This window comes from Homo sapiens, chromosome 3 (genome assembly GCF_000001405.40).
Source record: "Homo sapiens chromosome 3, GRCh38.p14 Primary Assembly".
Lineage (NCBI taxonomy): Eukaryota > Metazoa > Chordata > Mammalia > Primates > Hominidae > Homo > Homo sapiens.
This window is the reverse complement of record NC_000003.12, coordinates 53,219,364-53,246,442: the sequence shown is the minus strand read 5'-3', so window position 1 is coordinate 53,246,442 and position 27,079 is coordinate 53,219,364. Positions and strand designations below refer to the sequence as shown.

General features: G+C 54.9%; 1 protein-coding gene across 5 annotated transcripts in view, besides 4 other annotated features; it reads left to right on the top strand.

The window, feature by feature from the left end:
* The window catches only part of TKT (transketolase), a 31,311-nt gene extending 9,580 nt beyond the window's left edge, over positions 1-21,731 (top strand). Inside the window, exons 2-16 of one of the 5 annotated variants that reach the window (XM_011534054.2) lie at positions 4,201-4,318; positions 5,198-5,311; positions 6,095-6,192; positions 8,623-8,646; positions 11,269-11,460; positions 13,169-13,287; positions 14,893-15,086; positions 15,822-15,986; positions 17,007-17,163; positions 17,306-17,436; positions 18,084-18,167; positions 18,294-18,387; positions 19,565-19,687; positions 20,512-20,692; positions 20,834-21,731. In XM_011534054.2, the coding sequence (XP_011532356.1) occupies positions 4,201-4,318; positions 5,198-5,311; positions 6,095-6,192; positions 8,623-8,646; positions 11,269-11,460; positions 13,169-13,287; positions 14,893-15,086; positions 15,822-15,986; positions 17,007-17,163; positions 17,306-17,436; positions 18,084-18,167; positions 18,294-18,387; positions 19,565-19,687; positions 20,512-20,687 (1,789 nt within the window). In that variant the 3' untranslated portion in view covers positions 20,688-20,692; positions 20,834-21,731. Of the gene's footprint in view, positions 1-4,200; positions 4,319-5,197; positions 5,312-6,094; positions 6,193-8,622; positions 8,647-11,268; positions 11,461-13,168; positions 13,288-14,892; positions 15,087-15,821; positions 15,987-17,006; positions 17,164-17,305; positions 17,437-18,083; positions 18,168-18,293; positions 18,388-19,564; positions 19,688-20,511 lie in introns of all 5 variants that reach the window. The other 4 variants (NM_001135055.3, NM_001258028.2, NR_047580.2 and 1 more) reach the window with 4 other exon arrangements.
* Positions 4,573-5,568: an enhancer, noted in NCBI's record as "H3K4me1 hESC enhancer chr3:53274891-53275886 (GRCh37/hg19 assembly coordinates)". NCBI's record gives its function as "activates a minimal SCP1, AML or CMV promoter by ChIP-STARR-seq in naive H9 embryonic stem cells {active_cell/tissue: H9 hESC(naive)}" and the evidence as "EXISTENCE:reporter gene assay evidence [ECO:0000049][PMID:30033119]".
* Positions 9,262-10,070: an enhancer, noted in NCBI's record as "H3K27ac-H3K4me1 hESC enhancer chr3:53270389-53271197 (GRCh37/hg19 assembly coordinates)". NCBI's record gives its function as "activates a minimal SCP1, AML or CMV promoter by ChIP-STARR-seq in naive H9 embryonic stem cells {active_cell/tissue: H9 hESC(naive)}" and the evidence as "EXISTENCE:reporter gene assay evidence [ECO:0000049][PMID:30033119]".
* Positions 17,315-18,514: an enhancer, noted in NCBI's record as "CDK7 strongly-dependent group 2 enhancer chr3:53261945-53263144 (GRCh37/hg19 assembly coordinates)". NCBI's record gives its function as "activates an origin of replication core promoter dependent on BRD2, BRD4, P300/CBP, MED14 and CDK7 cofactors, with strong dependence on CDK7, by STARR-seq in HCT116 cells {active_cell/tissue: HCT116}" and the evidence as "EXISTENCE:reporter gene assay evidence [ECO:0000049][PMID:35650434]".
* Positions 26,464-26,513: a silencer, noted in NCBI's record as "silent region_14463". NCBI's record gives its function as "represses an Ori minimal core promoter by ATAC-STARR-seq in GM12878 lymphoblastoid cells {active_cell/tissue: GM12878}" and the evidence as "EXISTENCE:reporter gene assay evidence [ECO:0000049][PMID:35858748]".

The following is a 27,079-nucleotide window of genomic DNA, read 5'->3' as shown; positions in this document are numbered from 1 at the left end:
GAAGTGTAGCTCGCTCATTCTTACTGCTGTATAGTATCCCATTATATTAATATATTCCAGTTAACCTCGTCTATTGATAAACATATAAGTGAGTTCCAGGTCTTGCAATTGCAAACAATGCGGGGCAGCCCTGTTTGTGTTTCCTTTTTTTTGTTGTTGTTGTTGTTTTTTTCCTGAGATGGAGTCTCACTCTGTCACCGAGTCTAGAGTACAATGGCACGATCTTGATTCACTGCAACCTCAGCCTCCTGGGTTCAAGTGGTTCTCCTGCCTCAGCTTCCCAAGTAGCTGGGATTACGGGTGCCTGCCACCATGCCCAGCTAATTTTTGTATTTGTAGTAGATACAGGGTTTCACCATGTTGGCCAGGTTGGTCTCGAACTCCTGACCTCAGTTGATCCACCCACCTCAGCCTCCCAGAGTGCTGGGATTACAGGTGTGAGCCACTGTGCCCGGCCTGTTTGTGTTTCCTGTAGAATGTGTGGAACATGTGAGTACATTTCACTGTATGTTCCTACTGGTGAAGTTGCTGGGAGTTAAGGGATGTGCATCTTCGGCTACTGATCTGGTTTATTTTTAATGCTTGAAAGATTACTTAGGTTCTCTATTTCTTCTTGAGTCAGTTTTGGTAAATTATTTTCATTATTGTTATTATTTTTTAGACAGAGTCTCACTCTGTTGCCCAGGCTGGAGTGCAGTAGCATGATCTCGGCTCATTGCAACCCACGCCTCCGGGGTTCAAGCTATTCTCCTGCCTCAGCCTCCCAAGTAGCTGGGATTATAGGCATGTGCCACCACGCCCGGCTAATTTTTGTATTTTTAGTAGAGACGGGGTTTCACCATGTTGGCCAGGCTGGTCTTTGAGCCGCTGACCTCAGGTGATCTGCCTGCCTTGGCCTCCCAAAGTGCTGGAATTACGGGTGTGAGCTACCGCGCCCAACCTGACATCCATTATCTCTTGAAGGAGCCCATCTGGAGGGTGAGGGAGCCTCTCTGGCCTTTTCTTGCATAGAAACCTGTGAGCAGGTGGAGTGAGCACTAAAGCGATGACAGAGATTCTCCTGGCCAGGGGACATCTGGAAGAATATATATTGTCCTGGAGGGGAGTGGAGAGGGGGCTTTTTTTTTTTTTTTTTTGAGATGGAGTGTTACTCTTGTTGCCAAGGCTGGAGTGCAATGGTGCAATCTTGGCTCACTGCAACCTCTGGCTCCCAGGTTCAAGTGATTCTCCTGCCTCAGCTTCCCGAGTAGCTGGGATTACAGGCGTCCACCACCACACCTGGCTAATTTTTTGGTATTTTTAGTAGAGATGGGGTTTTACCATATTGGCCAGGCTGGTCTTAAACTCCTGACCTCAGGTGATCCGCCTGCCTTGACCTCCCAAAGTGCTGGGATTACAGGTGTGAGCCACTGCCCCCAGCCTGGAGGGGGCTTTAAGAGACTTTCTTTGGGCCTAGCTCTAAGCTTGCCACACCACCGTCACAGGTTGAACTAATTGGGGTTGTAAGTGGACTGTTTTGGTCAAGGCAGGGTGTGTTAGTTTTTTTTTTTTTTTTTTGAACAGTCAAGTGTGCTTGTTAGCCCTGTTTATCACAGAGTCAGGGTATACAGTAAGTACCCTGTAGCCCCTCCACCGTGCTCCTCACCCCATCTCTCGCCAGTGTTCACCCAGAGTTGTCACACACAGCACCACGGGATGGGGCGTCCACCTGCAGTTGTGCAGGCAGTCTGGAATGGCAGGAAAAACTCTGGCCCTGAGGAGGCCACAGGCTTAAATGTATGCCTTTGGCCCCAAAGGCCCGCTAGGAAGTTGAGCTTGAAAGTAACTGTCTCCTGTGTGCTCAGTGCTTTACAGTGTGCAGAGCCCGGTCTCAATCCTTGGTGTATTTCTCCCCTCTTGCCTGCCTGTGGCCAGCAGGAGTGGGTGGTGTCACCATCCCTGCCTGTAGATAAGAGCTGCAGGTGCTGAGAGGGTTGGCAGTGGTGGCGGCTGCTAGAGACCTGGGTACTGTGCATGCTGCGTTATCTCACTGTGTCTCCCAGACACTCTCCCAAGTGAAGAAGCTGAGCCCCGGGTTGACGAAGCACTTGTTGAAGTCACGAAGCCCAAGTGGCACAGCTCACCTCCCCAACCCAGGATGCTCTGCCGAGGGAGAGCCCCAAAAGCTCTGGGGAAGAGTGCGGGGACACCTGGCTCCTAAGCGTTCTTCTTTTGTGCGTGTTTACTTGGTAGAAGTGAAGAGAGTGGCCGCAGCAGGCTGGATGCAGCCTTTGGAAGGAATGAAAGGCTGCAGGCCTAGCAAGGAAGGCTTAAAATCAGCTGCACGTTCTACTTCTCACCCTTGGTCACCTCGCAGCTGACCTTCCTCTCTCCACGTTTACTCTATCTGGGCCTGGGTGTGCTTCTGCCACACACAGAAAGAGCCTGTGCCACACCATTTCTCCCTGGAACCCCTTCTGGTGGCCAATGGGACTGTCACCCCGGGGTGTCGAGGTGGATGGGGCAGGTGGAGCCCTGCACTTACCGTCCTTGTTCTTCCCCGGAACAGTTTGGCCCAGTGTCCACCCACATCCTTCTCCCACCAAGGATCCCTCCTAATGGGACCATGGCTTTAGAAACAGGACCCCTCAGGGCCGGGGCTGCCCTTGGAGGTGGGAAGGACGAGAGGTCAGCCTGAGGTGACCTCCAGTTGAAGCTGGCCCTGGGAGCGTGGGATTAGGGTGGCCTCCAGTTGAAGCTGGCACTGGGAGCGTGGGATTAGGGTCCCTGCCAGGCAGAAAAGGGTTTCTCGTTTACCATGTCCTCCCCTCCCTCTTTCAGGTGTAGTGTCTTTTCCCATGACCGGGAGTTCATAGAAATAGTTAAGTATAAGATGATCGTGTGCGAGAATGTTGGTACTAAACCAGCATGGACAGTTTTCTGGATTTCTCTACTACTAACTTGTCTGCACTGAGCGTGACTCACCCCTAACCTGGTGGGAGCGCTGATTGGAGGGGCGGGAGGCTGGCGGCGTGAGCTCCAGATGGTGCATGTGCCCTTGGGCTTGGCATGCGGCGTGTCTTCGTGTGAAGGACCTCTGGGAGCAGCGAGAGGGCTGAGCTGAGCTGAGCTGAGCTGCATGTGGAGGGGCCCTCCCGGGAGGCCTGTGCCCTGAGGCTGAACTTTTAACAAAACCCTGGGACCAGAGGGCTTCAGGGCTGATCAGGACCTGCAGCGCTTCCTGCTGGGAAGCAGGAAGCAATAGAAAGTTTACGCTTTCTATTGCTCAGGAGCCGCTCAGTGATTAAAACAAGTCTAAAAAGCCAAGGGGACTCCGTGGCCCCACCACTCCCAGGCTGGAAGGCAGGTTCTTGCTTTGTCAGCCCTTCCTCAGCCCTTGTCCATAGGCAGAAGGGGTTTTTATTAATACATGATTGTAGCCTTGTAGGAGATGAGATTATGTGTCTTGCTTTGAAAATTCTACACAAAAGCCTGTTTCCTAGTTGCTACAGCAGCCCTCAAACTGCCCATTTCTAAAGCTTTCAAGTAGCCCAGTGATGCAATTGGAAAGCCCAAGGCCCAGTTTTTCAGGCTACCACACCCCATGCGTGGAGGCTGCTGGGAGGTCTGTGGTAACTCCATGAGCCTCAGTCCCTTCCTCCCTGCCCCATGGGCTCAGAGGCCCAGCACCCCTGGGTGCTGAGAGGGCAGGGTGCCCTTCACAAGTGGGCAGTGTCCGGGCAGTCCTGTCAGGATGTGGGGTCAGTCGTAGGAATGCCGGCACCCCTTGGCTGCTGAGTCCTTAGACTCCTGGGGGCCACTAGGTGGGAACTGGGTTCTACCTGACAGCAGCTGCCCCCAGCCGCAGTGCTAGCCTTGGGCTGAGTCTTCTGTGCTAGATCTCTCCTGGGCCCCTCCTTCCTTCTTACTCAAGTCCAACCCCAGATATTTTCAGTTGCCGTGATTCTGAGGATCTGATGCCCCTGGAAAGGTACAACAGTCCCCAGCACCCACTAGCTGGCCCAGGCCCCAAACTGCCAGGAGTGGCCTTCTTGAGACCATGTGTCACCCTCCCAGGGAACAAGAGCTCGTGGCTGTCTGATAAGCCAGGCCTGTGTGACTCCTCAGGACATGCACCCCCAGGTCCCTGTACAGCTGAGCACAATAGCTCAGGAGTGCAGGGCCATGATGCCTGTGTCTGTCTTCTCTCCTGGGCCACAGCCACCCCACGTCATGCTGCAGCGCCGCAGAGATCATGGCTGTCCTCTTTTTCCACACCATGCGCTACAAGTCCCAGGACCCCCGGAATCCGCACAATGACCGCTTTGTGCTCTCCAAGGTAAGAGCCCAGCTGCCCACTGCCAGCCACACCTTGCCTGGGACTAGGGTCACACGGGCCCTGGAATGGTGAGTGGTCTTTGAGGAGACCTGGCTGGGCCCACCTCTCCCAGGTGCCTTCTCCCTGCTCGTCCTGGCCTCTCCCTCAGTGTCCTGCTCTGTGCTGACCCAGCTGGCTAAGGAATACAGGACTGAATTGATGGGTTGCTCTGCCATGGAGCCCAGGTACATAAACAACGCTTTAACTCAAAGAAATGGAGTAGGGGACTACGGAAACATCTGTTGTGTGTTCTGCCCAGTCTGGGTGTTGACAGGCAGGACTGGCATCTCGGTCTGGGTTGTGGCTCCCTACCTGCTCTATCTGTGTTGTGCCAGCGCTCCCGAGGCCACGGCTTGCCCCCTCGGGGTGGTGGTGTGCTGTAGCAGGGTTTTGGATGGGGACCCCCTGACCCCCCCCTTCTGGGTGGAATCACAGCCACAGATCCCTGAAATCCACCTGTGCTCAGGCCTGCCTCCGTGGCGTTTGGTCTCTCGGGCAGGCTTTAGAGCTTAGAAGTCTGTCCAAGTTGTTCCCATGCCACAAACCAGGGATTAGGGCAGCCGGCTGCCTGCTGGGGTTTTGGCTTCGTCCAGCCTCACAGCTGTGCCCCCTGCACCTGTCTTAGTGCCTGCCTGGCCTTGGCAGTGGGAACTTTGGGCTGAAAACCAAGAGGCTGAAGAGGGCTGAAAGGGGAGAAGTGGCCTTCACTTGCTTCCTCCCCTGAAATGGATGCTGCAGTTGGCCGGCTCGGCCGGGCCCCAGGGGTCAGTGTGAAGTAGGCACAGCCCGAAGTAGAACCGCTCCCCACCTGACCTCACCCCACCATCCATCTCCCGGCAGGGCCATGCAGCTCCCATCCTCTACGCGGTCTGGGCTGAAGCTGGTTTCCTGGCCGAGGCGGAGCTGCTGAACCTGAGGAAGATCAGCTCCGACTTGGACGGGCACCCGGTCCCGGTAAGTGCTCCTGCCAGAGCCTCCCATGCCTCTGCCTCCACTTCCTATTTCCCAGACATGTGGGACGGGGGTAGGGGGTGCCCACTGAGAAGCCAAAGGTGTTGAAAGGCGGAGGAGGGCATTGAGTTGAGGAAGGAAAGAAGCAGGTGTTTTGGGGACACGTATTCAACCCAAGCTGGTGCCAAAGGGGAAGGCCTTCTGAGGCCTCAGCCAGGGTGCTCTGGGATGACTTCAGGGAGGGCCTCTCCCCAAGCTACCCTTCTGCACTGGGCCTCCTTGGCTAGGTAGCTACAGCTTGGGAAGAGAGGGGACTCGATAAGGGAGTGGCTGCAGGATGCTGGCGAAACCCTGGGGAAGGGACCCAGTTTGTTCCTTGGGGTGCCATCTGGCATCCCTGCAAACGTTAAGACTTCATGGATTACCACAAAAACTGTCACATGGTCTGGGTCCCCACGAGGGGCAAATGTTCTGTCAATTTTTTCATGATTCTCTCTCCCAGCACTTTGTGAAGTGGGTGATGTGGGAACTGAGGCTCACAGAGGTTCAGTCCCTTGCCTGAGGCCTGAGGCCACATAGCTGGCTAGTGGGCAGGGCTGGGATTTGAACCTATAATTATAATTAGTTCATTAGGAGAAGAAGTCACATGCTAGGTAGAGGCCATCCTGGGGCCTGACCTTCTGCAGAGGAAGGGCTTGCTGGGCTGGGTGGGAGTGTGGCTCCCTAGGCGGGTGAGACCAGGATCCCTTCTCCTCTCAGATTAACGGTGGCCTTCTGTTATGACAGAAACAAGCTTTCACCGACGTGGCCACTGGCTCCCTGGGCCAGGGCCTCGGGGCCGCTTGTGGGATGGCCTACACCGGCAAATACTTCGACAAGGCCAGGTAACACACCTACTCCCCACCCCCAACCTGGGTAGTTTTGGGGAGTGGTCCTTGGGTGACCCACCCTTCACCATCGCCCCCAGACTCTTCCTCTTTCCTGGCTAGGGCAGAGTAATACATATGCGTGGCCTCTTTTGCTCTTTAAACATCCGCTATGGCTGGTGCCATGACCGGCCCCCTTTACAAATGAGGAAACACTCAGGAGTTAAGGGACCTGCCCTGGGTCCCTCAGCAGTGACTGGCAGGGCCAGGTTTGCACAGAGTGCGTGCTCTCAATCATGTGCTCTTCAGCCAGAGTGCTTAGGCTGAGGACTTCCTGTTTTGCCCCCAGCCCTGTGCCCAGACCCCAGAAGTCTCAGAAAGACCCACCCCCAGGCCCCTGTCTGACTAGGCACCAGGAGCCCAGGCCTGAGCCACTTGCCTTTATCTTGGTAAAGGGGAGGGTTGTATGTTCTGAGGGGTTCTGGGATACCTGTAAGCCACCTCCTATCAGCAGGGAAGAAACAAACATTTGAGAGATTGAGCCTTCAGAGGGTGGGTGATGAGCCTGACCAGAAAGGTGTGCTGCTCTAGCGCCCACCAGGTGATTTGTAGGAACGGCCCCCCAGGAAGGTTCTAGCCATAAGTTTGTCTGCGGTGGTCAGATATGGCCTGGGGGGATGAGGTTGTAAACTGTTAAGAATAATGGCTGGCTGAGGGAAGGATTGCTTGAGGCCAGGAGTTCCAGACCAGCCTAGGCAACAGAGCAAGACTCTCTCTACAAAAAATACAAAACTTAGCCAGGCATGGTGGTACACACCTGTAGTCCCAGCTACATAGGAGGCTGAGGTGGGAGGATCACTTGAGCCTAGGGCTTCAAGATTATAGCTATACATGATTGAGCCACTGCACCCTAGCCTGGGCTACAGAGCGAGACTCTGCCTCTTTAAAAAAAAAATTATTCTTTTTTTTAAAGAATAATCACTGTATTAGTCTGTTTCCACACTGCTGATAAAGGCATACCCAAGTCTGGGGAAGAAAAAGAGGTCTAATGGACTTACAGTTCCACATGGCTAGGGAGGCCTCACAGTCATGCTGGAAGGTAAGGAGGAACAAGTCACATCTTATGTGGAAGGCGCAGGCAAAGAGAGAGTTTGTGCAGGGAAACTCCCGTTTTTAAAACCATCAGATCTTGTGAGACTTATTCACCATCACGAGAACAGCATGGGGAAGACCTGTCCCCATGATTCAGTTATCTCCTGCTGGGCCCCTCCCACAACCAGTAGGAATTACGGGAGCTACAAGGTAAGATTTGGGTGGGGACCCAGAGCCTAACCATGTCAGTCACTCATCAGAAGGGTTCCTTTGCCCTTTGGGGGCTAGGCCCTGTGCTCAGTGCTCATGTGCTGTATTGGGTTCCACCTTTAAAAGCCCCCTGTGAGTTGGGTAGTGGTGTGAGAACCGTGACCCGTCTTACAGGTGAGGAAGCTGAGGCAAGATGCTGGCCTAGGCCATCCAGTTGGTGGTGGAGGTACCCAGGCTGCTCTTGGAGAGGCTGAGGGCACCACAGGAGCTCGGGGAGTCCTGTGGGCGGGAAGCCTCCTAGAGGAGGAAGGCCAGTGGGGCCAGCCCGCAGGGTGTGAGAAGGGCCCAGTTCTGCAGCTGATGGCATCTCCACTGCCCTGTCCTCCACTCCTGCAGCAGAAGTGCCATAGTGGGGTTCGGGAAGACTGTGGGTCCTTGAAGGACAGGAGGCTGCAGGGAGCACCTTCTGTGTGCAGGCCCTTCCCCAGGACTGGCTCTCCAAGGAGGCCTCACAGTCCCTTCCAGACCCCTTCAGGCCAGTGTCACCTGACCACAGTTTGCTTTCATTCCTTGGTGAGCCTTGGGGCAGGCTTGGCTACACCCAGAAGTGATTCACCATGAAGTAAAGAGAGAGAGACACACAAAGAATGAGATGCATGTTTAAGAGCATTTTATTTGGCAGAGAACCAGAGATGTGAGTTAATTATTCCCTACAGTTGCTGGAAATAATTCCCTGTGAAGGGGCATTTCCTGACCCTAACATAATGGAACAAGTCAGTGTAGGGAGAAGGAGTTTAGCTGGGTTCCCAGAAGCCAGGGTGGCTTGGGGCCAGGGTTGCCTGGAGCCTAGGCCCCTGACTGTACCTGGGGGAAGGGGCCAGGGCATCCAGGGATTATCATGTCAGGCCAGGCACCCGGAGGTAGCGTCTTGATAGAGCAAACTGGTCTCCACTCACTGTTTCTCCCTGCCCTCCTGTTTAAAAAGTACAGAATGATATTAAGAAATGAACGTTTTCCTTATTTTTTTATTTTTATTTTTTCTGAGATGGAGTCTCGCTCTGTCACCCAGGCTGGAGTGCAGTGGTACGATCTCGGCCCACTGCAACCTCCGCCTCCCGGGTTCAAGTGATTCTCCTCCTGCCTCAGCCTCCCGAGTAGCTGGGACTACAGGTACGTGCCACCACGCCTGGCTAATTTTTTGTATTTTTAGTAGAGACGGGCTTTCACCATGTTAGCCAGGATGGTCTCAATCTCCTGACCTTGTGATCTGCCCACCTCGGCCTCCCAAAGTGCTGGGATTACAGGCATGAGCCACTGCACCCAACCAATGTTTTCCTTATTCTTAGCACACTGCCTCCCACCCCCAATTTAAATCTAATGATGTATTTTGTCCATGTTATCATGAGAAAAGCTTACAAATCTGTAATCCCAGTGTGTGTGTGTGTGTGTGTGTGTGTGTGTGTGTGTGTGTATAATATAAAATCTAGTATTACACTTTAAACCAAGCCTTCTATCATGAGCTTTTTCTCCTGATATTAACAGTGGAGAGCTGGTTTTTTTTGTTTTGTTTTGTTTTTTTGAGATGGAGTCTTGCTCTGTCACCCAGGCTGGAGTGCAGTGGTGCCATCTTAGCTCACTGCAACCTCCGCCTCCTGGGTTCAAGTAATTCTCCTGCCTCAGCTTCCCGAGTAGCTGGGATTACAGACGCGCACCACCACACTCAGCTAATTTTTATATATTTAGTAGAGACGGGGTTTCATGACGTTGGCCAGGATGGTCAGTCTCAAACTCCTGACCTCAGGTCATCTCCCTACTTCAGCCTCCCAGAGTGCTGGGATTACAGGCGTGAGCCACTGCACACATCCTGAGAGCTGGTTTTAATGATCACATAATATTCTGTTTTATGGAGATGCTATAATCCATCTAGCCAGTCCTTTGTTGTTGGACACGTAAGGTAGTTTCCAAATCGTTCTACAACAAATGTCGACCTTCTGTTTAGGGTTCCCTCTCTTCAAATTAGTTCATGAATGGATGTTTGCAGCCCCCCACCCCTAACTCTAACAGCTCAGGCAATACCAAGCCTCAGGGTTAGCCCAGGCTCCTGTAGGCCCCTTCCCTGTTCACAACCCCTTCCTTGGCATCTCCTCGGGACCTCAGCACGCCCTCTGACCTGAGCCTGATGGCCCTGTAGGGCTTAGCCTTGTCCCTAGTCTCGAAGCCAAAGCTGTGCTGGGCCTCCAGTGCTAGCCTCGGTTCGACTTCCCTGGAAGTGGGTGTGGGCTTGGGGTGGCAGCCAGTTGCCTTCCCTGGAATCCCTTTCTGGGAAGTCGAGTTGGCTTCTCTGGCTCAGCCCCATCATGTGGCCCCTTTCTGGAGCTGCTGTGCCAGACCAGAGTCCCTGCAGGGTCTCTGGGCCCCCTCAAAACCTACAGGGGAAAGAGGAGGCAAGGCTGGGACAGGATAGGGCCTCTGAAGTGTGGGCCTGAGGCTTTGTCCTTCTGGCCATGGTACCCCACAGGGGCACCACCTCCTGTGGTGGAGGCCACAGAAGAGCAGTATGAGGCAGGAGAGGCTGCAGGGAGTGCTCCTGGCCTGCTGGCATGTGGAAGTGCTGAGTCATGCTGACAGCTCCGTGGCTAGCTGTCCCAGCCTCTTCCTGCTGCCCCTGCCTTGGCCCTGCGGCAGGGAGGCCTGGAGGCTTGGACTGCTGAGCATGCAGCCGGGTTGAGGGCCTTTTCCTGCAGGAGCAGGAGGGCAGCCATGTCCCCTCTGAGCCCAACCAGGCACCAGCCTCATTTCCTAGGGCTACACAGCTAGACACTGGGCAGGGTAAGGGGAGGTCCCCAAGTCCTACCACTCCTCACCCTACTTGCATGCCTGCACGGCAAGGAGCGGACAGTCTAGGCTACAGTCAGACCTGCGTTTGAATCCTGGCTCAGCAACTTCCTGACAGCGCGACCTTCAGACAAGTCCTGTCTGTTGCTGCCGTCCCTCTGCTACCCCCATCCCCTCACATCTCCCAGGCCGGGAACGTTCTGTTTGCTGGGTAATTTATCCCAAGTTCAGTGTTCTTTTTAACGTCTCACTGTCTTGAAAAGATCACAGTTGCCTGTGTTGAGGGGAGGAGAGGGCCCCTGTGGTAGAGAAAGAGCCAGGTGCAGCTTCAGTCTTGGGGTCAAGAGCTAGTCTTGGAAGCTTGGGGAGAGCCTGTCCCAGGAAGCGCCTGGTCCTCAAGTGCCCTCTGCTCTATCCTCCCCAGAGCCCTCTTGCTCCAGGGTGTTGCCTAGAGTGCCTCAGGCCTCCTTGGCCCACCTCCCTCCTCCGGGCAGAAGCAGAGCTTGGTTCCCAAGGTTCCCCTTTCCCACTGGCCCACCCAGCCAGTCCCAAGGCCTCCTCCAACCTCTGGTTCACAGCGGGGTCTGTCCCCTGCAGCAGGTGGCTCAAGCCTATTCACCCACCCTTCCTCACTTTCCTCTCATTCCAACAACCCCCATTTTTCTAGATCTTATTAGCCAGATCCCTGTTGTCCTAGACCTCTGTTTCTTAACAACCAGTACTTCTTCCTGAGCTCCTGACGTCTTCCTTCATGCCATTTTCTCTTGGGGTGTGGCTTGTGGTAGGCTGCAGGAACCTGGTGACACTGTTGCCCCTCGAGTGTAAATGCCATCTGTTCTGCATATCCATGCGTGGCTGCTCCTTTACCCAGAATGCAGGCTCCTTGGATGGGTGGGGGGGTGGGAGCCAGCTGGGTCCAGGTGAGAGGGACTGGCCTGATTCACTCTCTGTCCACAGCTACCGAGTCTATTGCTTGCTGGGAGACGGGGAGCTGTCAGAGGGCTCTGTATGGGAGGCCATGGCCTTCGCCAGCATCTATAAGCTGGACAACCTTGTGGCCATTCTAGACATCAATCGCCTGGGCCAGAGTGACCCGGCCCCACTGCAGCACCAGATGGACATCTACCAGAAGCGGTGCGAGGCCTTCGGGTATGTACGAGGCTGTGGCCTGAGTGTGGTCACAGCACGGGAGAGTGGTCTGTGATCACAGCTTTGCAGGTGCAGGTGCAGGAGCTGAAGCTGGGACCTTAAGCACCATCTAAAGGTCCCTTTCTTTAGCATTTGACTCACAATTTCAAACTCTAGGCATTTGGACTTAATGGCTCAGGATATGTGGGCCAGGCCCAGTTTTAAGTGAGTTTCCTTGTTTTCGTGGTTGTGGCATGGTGGCTCTCGGAGCTTCCACACACCATCTCACGTCAGCTCGCTTTGTTCTTGAGGAAGGAGGGTTCTTGAGGGATGGGGGCTTGCTCGGTAAAGCTAAAGGATGTATAGCTGCGGAGAGGTTTGAACCTCAGTTTGGTGGCCACGTCCTGTGCCCAGCCCCGCCCAGCCTGGGGAGGAGGAACAGGCTCCTGGTGAAATGGGAGATAGGGTTTCCAGATGCCCCCCTTCGGCCTTGATTGGTTACAAATTCAGGGTCAAAGGGCACAAAGCAGGGAGGTCAATCTGCATGGGTGTCAGCCAGAGGGGCTCCACCTCAAAGCCTCCACCGGTGTTGCCAAACACAAGCTGCTCTGCACAGGGGCCCAGCATTGGCTGAGGAGGCTGTGGAGGGGAGGGAGCAGGGCAGGTGCCGTGCAAGGCTTTGAGACTCAGGTCAGGCCTCCAGGACTGCGTTTTGCGGATGAACCCATGCCTGTGACTACACTAAGTAACAGGATGCTTGGGGTTACCTTGCAGTAGCACAGCATACGCAGGCCTGTGTTCCCTGATGACTGACCTCAGAAAGGGAGAGGAGGAAGGGAGGAAATAATCTCTGTTGGACAGGCGAGGAAACTGAGCCACAGGGTCCTCACCCCACAGGCCTCCCCAAGGCCACATCTATCTGGGGACTCAGAGTACAACCCCAGCAGCACCCCCAGGACCTGTGTCCATAACCTCGTGACTCAAGCCAGATTCCTGAAGTCCTGGCTCCACCGCTAACTTGCTTTGTGGCGTGGGTCACGTTACTTACTCCACCTTCGGTGTCTCAGTTGATTTGTCTGTACAATGGGGCCAGCTCAGCACCCAAGCATGGCGTGGTGAGGCTTCAGTGGGCTAATATGGGTAGTGGTTGGCATGGCACTCAGTTTGAGAAGTGCTATTTTTATTCTTATGTCAAAAAGAGTCCCCAAAAGGATAGCTTTTCAAGAGAAAGGGTGCTCTGCCCCAGCTCCTTCCTGTATATTTGACTCCATGGTTCATTTCAAAAACATTTCCAGCACCACATCCAGCATCTGTGGAGTGATCAAATGTGTTCCCCAAATAAGAATTGGGCCAAAAAATTCATCAAGAATCTAATAGCAGACAGATTCCAAACCCAGTGCGCTGACCCCAGAACAGCTTTCAGTAGGAAATGAGCAGATCAGGAATGAAAGAGACAATAAAGGAACTGAGCTCTGGATTACTTAAGAGGAGGAGGAAAACCTGTTCAGAGGCAAACAAAAGGAAGTAAAATAATGTGAAAAAGAAAAGGATTTAAAAAACCCAAACTGGAAACAGGAATGTTGCAAGCTTTCTACTACTCCAGCTGAGGCCGCAGTTGTGGGGTGGAGCCTGGGCAGACCCCAGCTGCCAAGGCAGACCTTTCCCTGGAAGGCTCCTCGGTGTTGTGGCCCCTGGGAATTGCCCCTTACTCTCTGCCCCCTGTCCCCAGTTGGCATGCCATCATCGTGGATGGACACAGCGTGGAGGAGCTGTGCAAGGCCTTTGGCCAGGCCAAGCACCAGCCAACAGCCATCATTGCCAAGACCTTCAAGGGCCGAGGGATCACGGGTCAGTATGCACAAGCCGCCCTCCCCACCTTCACCCCTCGCCCAGACACTGTGGCTACGTAGCTCTGACCCGCACATCCAGGGAAACAGCCCTTGCTGCTCACTGAGCTCACCAGGCTCCAGGGAAGGGGAGCGGGAGATGCTGTGACTCAGTGACCCCTGTGGCTGAGCCAGGATTTAAACTCAGATCCGTCTGGCCTCTGCCGGTGGGGGCATGTACAGGCAGGAGGAGAGGAGGGACTTGGAGGGTCTGTGGGTGAGAGGAAGGTCGTGGAGTGAGGCAGCCCCCGTGCCCCACCCTGGCTGGTGCCTTTCAGAGCTGCAGCTGTGTGTGCTCTGCCAGCTCCGGCCACCTGCTCCAGCTGAAGGGCCGACACAGAGCCAGGCAGGGCCCGGAGAGAACTGTTCCCTCCAGGAGGTGAGTGGGGTACTCCTCAAGCAATGGCAGATGCTGAGCAAGGCCTGTGTGGGCCAAGAGCCTTGGGGGGTTTGGAACCTGGGTTCTGCCCCAGGCCGGAGAATGAGGCAGGCGTAAGTCACTCCCTGGCACCCAGGTGTGGGCTTCAGATTCCTAGGCCTGGGATGGCCTCACCCATTTTAAAGATGGGAAAATGAGACTACAAGTGGTCAGGGACTTGCCCGGGGACAGAGGAAGTCTATGGCACGAGGGGGGCTGATCCCAGGGCCTGGGTCGGCTTCCCTGCCAAATGCCCCTGGCTGCCCACCTGCCTGCTCTCAGGGGTTGTGGCTTGTTCTGCCCATGTAGACTCAGGTATATGAGGATGTTCTGAGTGGGGGTTTGGCAGTGCTGGGAGGTGTCTGGGAGGGGGTGGATGTCGAGGAAAGGGCTCTGGGATATTGTCATGGCTTTGGTGCTGCTGCCTGGCACTGCCCTCTGGTGTTAAAAATGGGCAGGATCTGGACCACTTGCAGCTTCTTGGGGGCTCCTGCTAGTCTTTCGGGCTGCTGGGTGCTACCTGGGAGTTCAGTCTGTTCTTGGCTCTGGCCAGACTCTAGTGACTACTGAGGTGACCTCCAGGGAGAGGGATATTCAGCCTTCCTGGCCGCACACAACAAGGTGCCATGGGGTGGGCATGCCTAGGTGCTTATAGACTCCTCTGCTGCTCACAGATGCATTGGGTGACCCTGGAAGCCCTGTTCTGGGCCTTGGGTTCCCCTTCTGATGGCCAGGGTCCCTTCCAACCCAGTCGACAAACTGAGTATTTCTGCAGCAGACACCTCTACCTGTGTGTGACCCTGCAGGCGGGGTTGTGGGGAGGAAGAGAATGGACACATTGGTGAAGGGATGGGGCAGTGGGCCCAGAAACACACACCTGCCCACGTCTGGCCCCTCCTTTCCCACTCAGCTGTGAGCTCCCAAAGGACCAGGCAGTAGACAGTGAGTGGTGGGCACGTAGGAGTCCATCCTATTCACTGCGACCCTCCTTTCCTGGCCCCCGTGCCTGGCTGGGCTCTGCCTGTCTGGGATGATGCCATTCCTCCCTTGCCCTCGGCAGGTAGAGGGCCAGTCTCCTGGAGCAGCCTCCTGGCCCTCTGGGAGCTTCTGTCTTACCCATTCCTCTGTCCTCCCGTGTTGGGTCTGCAGGGGTAGAAGATAAGGAGTCTTGGCATGGGAAGCCCCTCCCCAAAAACATGGCTGAGCAGATCATCCAGGAGATCTACAGCCAGATCCAGAGCAAAAAGAAGATCCTGGCAACCCCTCCACAGGAGGACGCACCCTCAGTGGACATTGCCAACATCCGCATGCCCAGCCTGCCCAGCTACAAAGTTGGGGACAAGGTACAAAGTGGGGCCTGTTTCTCTGAACCCATAGTTCTCAGGTTTCCCAAGTCTGTGGCCCAGATACACCCTCTGGAGGGCTGGGAAAGGGAGGAGAGCGATTCATTTAGGGCGAGGAGTGATCCCTGAGGTGTTGTTCCTGTCACTTCCCTCAGAATGACAGACATCTCTGGAGTTGACCTGCAGAGGCTCAGACCGGGCAAGGGAATTGCCCACTTAGCAAGCTTAGCAAGCTACTGACAGAACTGAGATCAAAGCCAAGGACTCACTCCCAAGTTCTTGCATCGCTGGTCCACGAGGGACCCTTGGCCTGAGCTCAGGACCCCCACCTGACCTGGGAAAGGCTAGGCAGAGCTGTCCCACTCCAGGTTTCTGTCCCAAGGGAACCCATCCATGCAGCCTGTGCCTGGCCTTGACTCCCAAGCCTTCTGTGTTCCCATGCAAAGTGGAATAGGTTCATGGACCTGGTGCAGCAGGCGGGAAGTTGGGGCTGGTGGGTGTCTTCTGTAGCTTATACCTTTCACAGCCAGAAGGGGCCGGGGCTCCAGGGGCTCCCAAGACATTGACCGTAGTCGTTGGCAACCTTTCAGCAGTTAAAAGCCTCTGCAGGACCTTGTGCTCCAGGGCTTCCATTTTTGGCCCCGTTTTAATCCTTCTCTGAAAGCAGGGCTCCAGGCTGCAGGTGTGCACTCACCCTCAGAGGGGTCCAGAGCCTTCCCACTCTCTTCCTCACAGATAGCCACCCGCAAGGCCTACGGGCAGGCACTGGCCAAGCTGGGCCATGCCAGTGACCGCATCATCGCCCTGGATGGGGACACCAAAAATTCCACCTTCTCGGAGATCTTCAAAAAGGAGCACCCGGACCGCTTCATCGAGTGCTACATTGCTGAGCAGAACATGGTAGGTGCTGGGGCCGGCAGGGACAGGTCCACCCAAGGCTGAGGGCTGTGGTCTGAGGGGTGCGGGGCAGCCATGTTGGCAGAGCCAGGTGCCTGCTGTAGGCCAGCCCAGGGAGACTATAAGAAAAGCCAGGACCCAGCGTTAACCCCTGACCTTGAACAGCCACAGTTTGGGAGGTTCTGCCCAGGTGCAAATGTCCTGGACAGGTGTGCACATGGGGGAGCCGAATGGGACTGCAGGTGCTCTCAGGAGGAGCTGCGTACAGGCCAGGCCTGGTGGTGAATGGGGTCTCTTCCAGGTGGAGGACAGGCCTGGCCAGTAGGTGGGGCCGTGATGGGTTTAGCAGCCCGAGTCTGTAGAGCACCTGTAATGCACACGGCTCTGGGCCCTGCCACCCTGAGGGATGCAGAGATGAGGGAACTCTGGGCCCCTGACATGTACCCATTTGGGGAAGCAGACCCTTGTCAGGAACTGAGGTTGTGAAGTAAGGAACAATGTTTTGTCCATGTTTTCAAAATATCCCCTCCTGGTGGTCCAGGAGCCCAGCCTGGCTTGCAGGCCCCTAGGGACAGGGAGCTTCCTCTCTCTGGAGGGCACTCAGATCTCCAGAGTTCTTCCAACTGGACCTGAAATTCTCTCTGTGGTTTCCAGAGACTGCTCTGCAGGGCGTGGGGCTGGGGAGGTCCCAGGTACTAGGGAAAGAGGCCTTGTGTTGGCTGGCAGATTTTGGAGCCTTGAAGGGCAGCTGGTTTGGAACTGATGACTGTACTCAGTGCTGCTTCTGGATGAGTGATTTGGGGCCTGGAGCCTCAGCAGGCATGAGGCTGCTGCCCTCGGACCCCAGGGAGGGGTTGGGAGGACCGGTCTCTGCAGAAGAAGGTGGTGGGGGACATATTCAGAAGCCCAGAAAGGATGGACAATCTATATACAAATTGTGGCTTTCTCCACAAAAGGGGTCCTAGGCTCCCCGACCACCCTCTGCCTGCCCCTTTGGGCTGACCCTGTCCCACCTGCCCCCAGGTGAGCATCGCGGTGGGCTGTGCCACCCGCAACAGGACGGTGCCCTTCTGCAGCACTTTTGCAGCCTTCTTCACGCGGGCCTTTGACCAGATTCGCATGGCCGCCATCTCCGAGAGCAACATCAACCTCTGCGGCTCCCACTGCGGCGTTTCCATCGGTGAGTTTAGCCAGGGTGTTTACACCTGGAGCTCCCTTGACTTTTGCACCAGGAGGTATGGGAGGGGGATGGGCCAGGATTCCAGCCCATGGATGGGGGGGTAGGGGTCTTATTTCTGCATATCCTTTCCCCCACACCCCAGGGGAAGACGGGCCCTCCCAGATGGCCCTAGAAGATCTGGCTATGTTTCGGTCAGTCCCCACATCAACTGTCTTTTACCCAAGTGATGGCGTTGCTACAGAGAAGGCAGTGGAACTAGCCGCCAATACAAAGGTAGGTTGCATGGCTGTTCTTTCTCCTGCTGGCAGCCATCACTTCCCAAGGGAAACAGAAGAGGAGGCCAGAGCTGGTCACTTGCTGCCCCAGGGGGTGTTTCCTGACCTTGCCCCTGGTGTTCGTGTAGCTTGTGGAAGTTAGACAAGAAAAAACGAAATACACACCCCACTTACTGCCACGTGGCAGACATTGTCAACTGATTGCCAGTCTGTCTCTGCTGAGAATCCTGGCAGCCCTGGCCGGTCCAGCGGTTGACACCTCTCCACCCTCCTGAGTTGGGTTCTCCAAGACAGGCAAGGATGAGCTGAGCCCTGTGGTCCAGGCCCGGAGCTGCATGCCACAGACCCAGTGCGCGTGGTTCCTGCCCCTCTGCCTGGTGCAGTCTGTGGGAGTAGCCCACCTGCAGCCAGTCTACCTGGTGGAAAGTTGCCTTCGGTCTGAGGCTGCAAGGTGGTGGGCAGTTCTCAGAGTGTTCAAGTGGGGTGCGGGCGGCAGAGGGCAAGCAAGGCCCTTTTCCCTGCTGGAGTAGCCAGGATGCAGTAACTAACGCTCCCATGGGAAGGGATGGCCTCTCTAGAAAGACCTCGTCTCTGAGGTTGGGTGTGCCACATCCTGTATCCTCAGTTTATCTGTTTCGGTCTCAGGGTATCTGCTTCATCCGGACCAGCCGCCCAGAAAATGCCATCATCTATAACAACAATGAGGACTTCCAGGTCGGACAAGCCAAGGTCAGTGCCTCGCATGCCCCAGGAGCCCACAGAGCTGCCTGGACCCTCCCTGCTGTGACTCCCAGCAGTCAGGGCACACCCTGCCCCAGGGCCCTGAGCCTTACTCACCCTCTGTGTCACCCCCAGGTGGTCCTGAAGAGCAAGGATGACCAGGTGACCGTTATCGGGGCTGGGGTGACCCTGCACGAGGCCTTGGCCGCTGCCGAACTGCTGAAGAAAGGTGAGGAGAAGGGGCCTCCAAAGTCATCAACTGAGCGGCCACTGCATGCTAGGTCTTGGGGTTCTTTCTTTCGTTCTTTCTGTTCTTTCTTGAAGAGCTCACAGCTAGAGAGAAAGCATTTCATTTCATTAAATAATGATAGCAATTATAGCCATCCTTTGAGCACTTGTTCTGTCTGGCATGTTGCTAAGTCCTGGGGCTGCAGTGCCCACAGTCCCTACCCTATGACTCTAAAGTCGAGACCCCCCCAGCATGGTGGCCAGATCAGTGGCCTGGAGCCTGCCAGCTGGGCTGGAATCACTCAGCCAGGCACTAGTTAAGGAAGTAAGTTATTCACTGTCACCATGCCTGTTTTCCTATCTGTAAAATGGAGATACTAGCCCCTTGCCCTCAGAGCTCTCCTGAGGGTTACATGCATGTGACTTGGTATTCTATTATTATTACTGCGAGCTCACAGTGTTGGCTAGTGGTTTGTAGGGGAGACAGGCATTGGCCTCTCCTGCAATAGAATCACACAGCAGATGTCATGTTTTAGCACGAAAGAGGGGGCAGGTGTGGCATCTTCCAGAAAGTGGCTTCAGAGTGGGTAGGAATTGATTAGCAGAGAGGAGAGTGAAGGGAGGCCGGAGGAGGGTCAGGCAGGAGCAAGATGGGGCTGGAGGAGCCAGAGGAGTCCATCCCCAGGCAGGGGGAGACCCAGGGGGGTGAGCTTTAAGCAGGGCCTGGCAAGCGTGGGTTTGTCCTTCTGAGAAGGTGCCTCTGCTGCTGGGGCCGCACGTGGGCCTCTGATCACTCTGCGGGCTGCAGCTCCCCAACGTCACCACATCAAGCCTCACCTTCCATCAGGCCAGACACCTGGGGTGTTTTCTCTCGCATTCCCTTTGTCTTCAAGGTTGTGGGAGGATGAGGGAAGGCGCTCAGGGCCTGCACGCTCCGCTCTGGGTTCTTGGATACTGCGGGCAACACAGCTGGACCAGATGCCCCAGTGCAAGGGGTTGGCAAGCATGAGCTCAGCCATGGGAACGAGGTGGCAAGTGGTTCTCCCTGGGACAGGGACAGGCCCGCAGGCTGAGCTCTTAGCTACACGCAGCCCTCAGGATGTCCCACCAGGCCCCCACCAGGGCAGATAGTGGTGCCCAGCCCTCCCCTCAGCCACGCCGTGTGCTCTCCCTCACAGAAAAGATCAACATCCGCGTGCTGGACCCCTTCACCATCAAGCCCCTGGACAGAAAACTCATTCTCGACAGCGCTCGTGCCACCAAGGGCAGGATCCTCACCGTGGAGGACCATTATTATGAAGGTAAGGAGGCCTGGGGCAGGCAGGCTGGGCAAGGGACAGGGCCAGAGAGCCGAGCGTTGGACGTGCCTCTTCTATCTGAGCCCCAGGAGGGCAGCTGTGGCCCAGAACACCCAGAGCTGTCCCTCAGAGCAGCTGGGACGTGGTCTCTTAAAAGGCCTCAGGCTTGGCCTGGGGACCTAGCTAACTCACAGCTGCTGATGAGCTCTGTGGAGCTCCTGCTGCCCAGGAAGCTGGTGAGGATTCCAACCTCGCTGCTAAATGGTGGATGGTGGCGTCCCTGAGGTAGTGTAGGGTGGAAGCTATGGTGCAGCTTGGGAAGCAATGCAGAATTTCTGGTATTTGTGAGTCCTTCACACAGCAGGCTCCCTAAGTACACACCAGCCTCTCTAAGTAGGAGGCCCCAGTGGGAGAGATGGGCTTTGACTCTGGGGTCAAATGTAGATAATTGGACTATGGACAGTGGCTGGCTGGTCACCAACAATGGTGTTTGAAACAAACATTTAGAGGCCATATTTGGGCTTATAAAAATAGTTCTGGGCCGTGCATGGTGGCTCACACCTGCAATCCCAGCACTTTGGGAGGCTGAGGACAGCGGATTTCTTGAGCTCAGGAGTTGGGAGACCAGCCTGGGCAACATGGTGATACCTGTCTGTCTCTTTAAAATAAAAAAAATCAATGAGTTATGTGATGGGCTCATGGCTACAGGTGGAGAAAGGCAGTGCATATGCAGCCTCCTCCATCCTTGACTAAGGCTGACAGAGGGCTGGGCCCACCACTGCTCACCCTGAGGCCTCGTCTTCTGACTCCCCTCCTTTCATTTCTAGGTGGCATTGGTGAGGCTGTGTCCAGTGCAGTAGTGGGCGAGCCTGGCATCACTGTCACCCACCTGGCAGTTAACCGGGTACCAAGAAGTGGGAAGCCGGCTGAGCTGCTGAAGATGTTTGGTATCGACAGGGATGCCATTGCACAAGCTGTGAGGGGCCTCATCACCAAGGCCTAGGGCGGGTATGAAGTGTGGGGCGGGGGTCTATACATTCCTGAGATTCTGGGAAAGGTGCTCAAAGATGTACTGAGAGGAGGGGTAAATATATGTTTTGAGAAAAATGAATTGGCCCTGAAATGTTTTCTTTTTTGATGTGTTTGCAGCCAGTGCAGGTTCTGGGGAAGAAGCGTGGAGGGTGCGCTAGGGAGGCTGGTGTCCTTGGTCCTGGGCCAGGACCTGGGTGTCCCAAGTCCCCTTGGAATCACCTGCAACTGCCCTCAACCTCCAGAACTATCGCTGCCTCCCATTCATCACCAGGTGACATTTGACTGCAACCTGCCTTCTAGCTGAGAGGCTGAGACCTACATCCCTCATTGTGACCTCAGTCCACCTGGCCCTGAGCGGGCTGGGGAACTGCCTCAGTCTGGAAGCTGACCAGGCACTCTCAGGGCCGCCCCACCTCCCCCAAGTCCCCACAGCCTTGCAGTCAGGTCTCCTGGGATAGGGAGGTTCACTTGCTTGTTGTCCCTCGTCCTTGTCATATCCTTTTAACTAGGCATCTCAGAGAAGCAGAGACAGGGCAGCCTTCGTCCTGGGGGAAAAGGGACCCTCAGGATGGCATGAGAGGTCCTCAATCCCAAGTGTGGAACTGTCCCCCTCAACTTGTTAAAATGCAGATTTCTGGGTCTTGCCAATGGGGCCTGGGACTCCATGTGACAACTGGCCCAGGAGCTTCTGATGTCACACAGAATTCTGCAGTCCCAAGCTCCAGCCCCGACCTGCTCTGCTGTTCCTAGGTGACTGCCCTCACACTGCTGACCACAGTGGATTTCTCCCCCTGCTGCTCGGGCTCAGCTGGGGTCAGCCCTGCTTATAAGGTCAACTGTGCAAAACCTTATACTGGCCAAGAACAAACTAGTGCTGGGGGAGGAGGGCTGGGTGCCCCGGCCACTGGTGGAGTCCCCAGGAAATCCTCAGAGCTGTTGCGAGGATGAGACACATTTGTGGACACGTCCACCTGTCCTCCTGACCGTCTGGAGAGAATAAACCTGTCAAAGCCAAGGTCAGGCAATTGCCCCCCACTTAGCTACCCAGCCAGGTCTAGCAGTGCCAGAGGCTGTGCCTGTGTTTGCCTCAACACCAATTCCAGAGGGACCAGGCATGGGGTGATGTGGTTTGGTCCCAGGGGGGTGCCCTGGGCTGATGCCTGTTCACCAGTGTGTTGAGGGCAGACCTGGGATTGGAACCTGGGTCTCTGTGAGTCTAGAGATCCCACCTTCTGTACCCTACTGCCCCTAGGGCCCTCAAAAGAGGAATCATGCAGTAGGCTCCCAGGAGGGCCCTGGTCCCATAGGATGATGGGAACAGCCTGGGGCTCAGGTCCTGTGCGTCTCCAGAGCCCACAGGCCCCTGCAGAGAATCTAGAGGCAAATACTGGGACAAGGACACCTGAGCCATAGGCACAGGCCCAGCCAGCAGCCTGGTGAGCCCATCTACACTGGCTAGCCATGCCCCAAGGACCTGGGAGGCCTGGCTAACCCAAAGTAGAGGGACAGGAGGGGCAGCTGCCCTCACCTCCAGCCTGCCTGGCCTCTCCCAGGCCCACACAGCTTGTGAAGAAGAAGACGAGAGCCTGGGCAGCAGGCGCCGGGGCCTGGGCAGGATGAGGGAGGAGAGTCAAGAACCCTGACCCAGTCACCCAGACCCAGTCCGGGGACATCAAGGCTACAGGAAGCTGGGACATTCAGGAATCCCAGAGCTGAAAAACTCTGCCTCCTTTTTGGCGAGAAGACTTAGAGTATAATGTGCTTAGTGTAGGGCGTGCTTGGTGCGGAGTGTGCTGGAGGCCATCACTGGGTCCTCATGGGAGCCTGACGAACTTGTCATTTCTCCCTCAGCCCCTGCTCAGGAAATACGGGAAGCCAAGACAGTGCCTGAGGCCTGACTGGAGGCTGGTGTGGCCTGACCTGTCAGCTAGCAAGGCCTGGCGGTGCCTCATGGCATAGACAGCTGAGCAGGAGGGCAGCATGGCCCCCCAGCAGCCTAGGACAAACTTTCCTGGCACCAGGGAAAGCCCCTCCCACCCCTGCTGGTAAAGGGGATGCTGAGGCTACAATCCACACAGCCAGGAGCCGGGATGCAGCTGCAAGGAGGGCGTGCTGGTGACCCCTCACGTCCCTACCCACTTGGGCAAAGGCTGTGGCAGCTGAGCCTGATAGGGGCGGGCAGGGCTGGGGGCAAACTCCCCAGACCAAAACCACCCCCACCACCCTCTGCTCAGTACATGGGGCAGTCCTCTCCCCAAGCCTCAGTTTCCTCATTTGTTCAGTGGGAATCATGACGGCCTCACAAGGCTGTTGTGAGAATGAAATAAGAGAAGTGTTAATGCCTTTAGAACACTGCTAGGCAGATACGGGCTCAGAAGAAGTTGGAATTCCTAACCGTTCACAGGCAGGGCCACCTGGCTGGGGGGCGCCTTTGTCACTGTGCGTTGTGTGACTACAGACATTTAGGAAGCACAGACTTCTGCCCGTAGCAGCCCATGCTGGGCAGTCGGGGCCTGGCTCTCAGGGGTGGTGGCCCAGCACACAGCTGTTCAACTTGATCATAACTGTCCTTGACACAGCCCTGACCTGTTGGTTATCAGCTTCACTGTGATATAATTCACATAGCACACAATTCACCTATTTGAAGTATATTATTCAGTGGGTTTTAATATATTCACCAAGTTGTGCAACAACGCCACAGTCAATTCCAAAATATTTCCATCATCCCCAAAAGGAACCCTCTATCAGTCCTCTGCTGAGGGCCACACAGATGCCTCTTGCTGCAGAGCTGGGATCACAGCTGTCCCCTTGCTCCCACCAAAGGTCCCCTCCCAAGATGGGTGTGTGTAGGGCAGGATCTGGGTCCTGCCATGAAGGGAAAAAACCACTTCAAACAGCTTGTCCTGCTTTCCCACCTCAAGGGCGAGGCTCTGCCTGCAGGACCTGGGGCCCATGTGTCCTCGCTGGTCCTCTTTGGGAGGAGGAAGAGGGGAGAGGAGGGTGAAGGCTGTTGGCCACTGCGCTGGGTGGGATTCCAGAAACCGACGCTCAGGGATTGGGTTTTACGGACACACGGATCTGCAGTATGAATCATGAAAACACCAACACACAGAAAATGGGGAAAGGAACAGCACAGCAGAACATAATGTTGCTGACTACAGGCTCCTTCCCCTGCTCAGGGAGGACCCAAAGCTACGTCTCCTACCCCAGTCTTCACTCCAGAGAAGGGGGGTTGCCCAGACATGGCCCTAAGGGCAAGATGAGGAAAGTTTCTGAGTTGGGCCCAGGGGGTGCTGGCAACCCAGGTTGGACACCCAGGGCCTGTATTCACGCTGGTTTTGGTGGTTTATTCTAGGTCAGGCACAACCTTGGGAAGAATGAGCCCTTTGTTCCTGGTTCAGCTGGCAAGACAGGAAAGGGCTGCCCTAGGGTCCGGGGTCCTGCCGCTGCCCCACAGCCTGGGCCTGAAAGCTGCCGAAGCCCCAGTCAGCTCAAGCTGCCATGAGACAGTACCATAGGCTGGGTTGCTCAAGTAACAGAAGTGTGCTTCTCACTGTGCTAGAGGCTGGGAAGTCCAAAATCAAGATGTTGCCCCTTCAGTTTCCAGCAAGGCTCTCTTCTGGGCTTGCAGGTGGCCTTGCCTCTGTGTGTGCTGGGGGCAGGAAGATCGAGCCCTCTCTGGTGCGTCTTATAGTATAAGGACACTAATCCCATCAGATCAGGGCTTCACCCTTAGGACCTCGTTTAACCTTAGTTAACTTTTTACAGAACCTGTCTCCAAATACAGTCACATTAGGGGTTAGAGCTTCAAATTATGAATTTGGGTTTGGTTGGGGGCCACAGCTCAGTCCATAGCAGCCCTCAAATCTGCCAAGTTCACAGTTCACTTCTCTCCCAGGGGCACACTATTCTGGATGTCGGAACTTGAAGTATAAGAGAAAAATGAAACTATCTTGAGATTTAAATGAGAAGAGGGGGCTGGGTGCAGTGGCTCATGTCTGTAATCCCAGCACTTTGGAGGCCAAGGCAGGAGGATCACTTTTGCCCAGGAGTTCAAGACCAGCCTGACATCATGGAGAAACCCCATCTCTACACAAAATACGAAAATTAGCTAGGCAGCAGCATGCACCTGTGGTCTCAGCTACTCAGGAGGCTGAGGTAGGAGGATCACTTGAGCCTGGGAAATGGAGGTTGCAGGGAGCTGTGAGCACACCTCTGCACTCCAGCCAGGGCAACAGAGCAAGATCCTGTCTCAAAAAATAAATAAAAGCTAGAAAGAAGGAGGGTTCTTTAAAAAGGGAGCAGAGGCCGGGTGTAGTAGCTCACACCCGTAATCCCAACACTTTAGGAGGCCGAGGCAGGTGGATCACCTGAGGTCAGGAGTTTGAGACCAGCCTGACCAACATGGTGAAACCACGTCTCTACTAAACATATAAAAATTAGCCAGGCATGGTGGTGTGCACCTGTAATCCCAGCTACTCAGGAGGCTGAGGCACAAGAATCACTTGAACCTGGGAGGTGGAGGTTGCAGTGAACCAAGATGGCATCACTGCACTCCAGCCTGGGCGACAGAGCGAGACTCTGTCTCAAAAAAAAAAAAAAAAAAAAAAAGCAGAAACCCATCAGCAGGCCACTGAGCACCCCTCCACACACGTCCAGGTCCAGGGCAGGAGAAAACCCCAATCCCCCTCCTTGATCTGGGTCTCACCTCCCAACAACAACAAAGTTTCCAACACTGGCAAATGTGGGTTTCTGCCTCAAGTCTTCATCAAAGTACCTCAGGTAGTCTTAATTAGTACAGCAAGTTGTACATGGTATGTTTTTATGTTTTTAGTGATTTCAGATCTGAACATTCTATACGTATGTTTTTCACATGTTTTCACAGGAGGAAGGGACAACCAACCAGAGAGTTTTTGTTTTGTTTGTTTGTTTGAGACAGGGTCTCACTTTGTGGCTCAGGCTGGAGTGCTGTGGTGTGATCTTGGCTCACTGCAGCCTCGGCTCCAGGGCTCAAGTGAACCTCCCACCTCAGCCCTGAGTAAGCTGGGTCTACAGGTGTGCACCACCACACCCAGCTAATTTTTGTATTCTTTGTATACACAGGGTCACCCCGAGTAAGCTCGGTCTACAGGTGTGCACCACCACACCCAGCTAATTTTTGTATTCTTTGTATACACAGGGTCTCCCCATGTTGCTCAGGCTGGTCTCGAACTCGTGAGCTCAAGCAATCCACCAGTCTTGGCCTCCCAAAGTGCTCGGATTACAGGTGTGAGCTGCTGCGTCCGGCCTACTGACCAGAGTTTTAACAAAAACTTCCCATCCATACACCACACTTTAAATTCTGGAAGTTTCCATCTCCACTCCTGTATGTCTAAAAGACTGAGAAATCCCCGAACTGGATAAGGCGCTTTATCCCTTTAAGAGTTTAATTGGAGACAAGCAGAGACCTCTGCACATGCTTGAGCCCAGGTTCCCCAGGGGTGGGGGGTAAAGGGCTTTGACATTTCCACCCCACCAGGAATTTCATTTGAGCTGATCTCTGCAACATAGATCTCAGCAATTGCCTGTCCATTCATCCTCACAGGCCCACGTTGCATTGCTTTGCAGGCGGTAGTGGCCTGCATGGAAGAGGAGCCTGCAGCGCCACCTGTAGGGCTGGGGAGGGATGGACTCATGGACCAGAGATCCTGGCTGCAGCAGTGCCTCCTGGTCGTTGTCACACACAACTGAAACTGCAAGGTACATGCTGGGACAAAGATGTCAGGCTCACTCCCTGTGAGACTAGGCAGGGCTCTCTTCCAATGACACCGGAGTTCATTGATTTTACTTTTTCCTTATTTTATTTTTTCTAAATTTTATTTAATTTTATTTTTTGAGATAGTGTCTCACTCTGTTGCCTGGGCTGGAGTGCAGTGGCATGATCTCACTGCAGCCTCGACCTCCTGGGCTCTGGTGATTCTCCCACCTCAGCCTCCTGAGTAGCTGGAACTACAGGTACATGCCATCAAACCTAGCTAATTTTTGTGTTTTTTGTACAGATGGAGTTTCACCATATTGCCCAGGCTAGTTAAATTTTACTTTTTAAAAGGCTAAACTCGAACTCCTGGGCTCAAGCAATCCTCCCACCTCAGCCTTTCCAGTAGCTGAGACTACAAACGTGCGCCACCGCACCCAGTTTGCTTTTATTTATTTTTGAGACGGAGTCTCGCTCTGTCACCCAGGCTGGAGTGCAGTGGCGCGATCTCGGCTCACTGCAAGCTCCGCCTCCCGGGTTCACGCCATTCTCCTGCCTCAGCCTCTCCGAATAGCTGGGACTACAGGCGCCCACCACCACGCCTGGCTAATTTTTTTTTTGAATTTTTA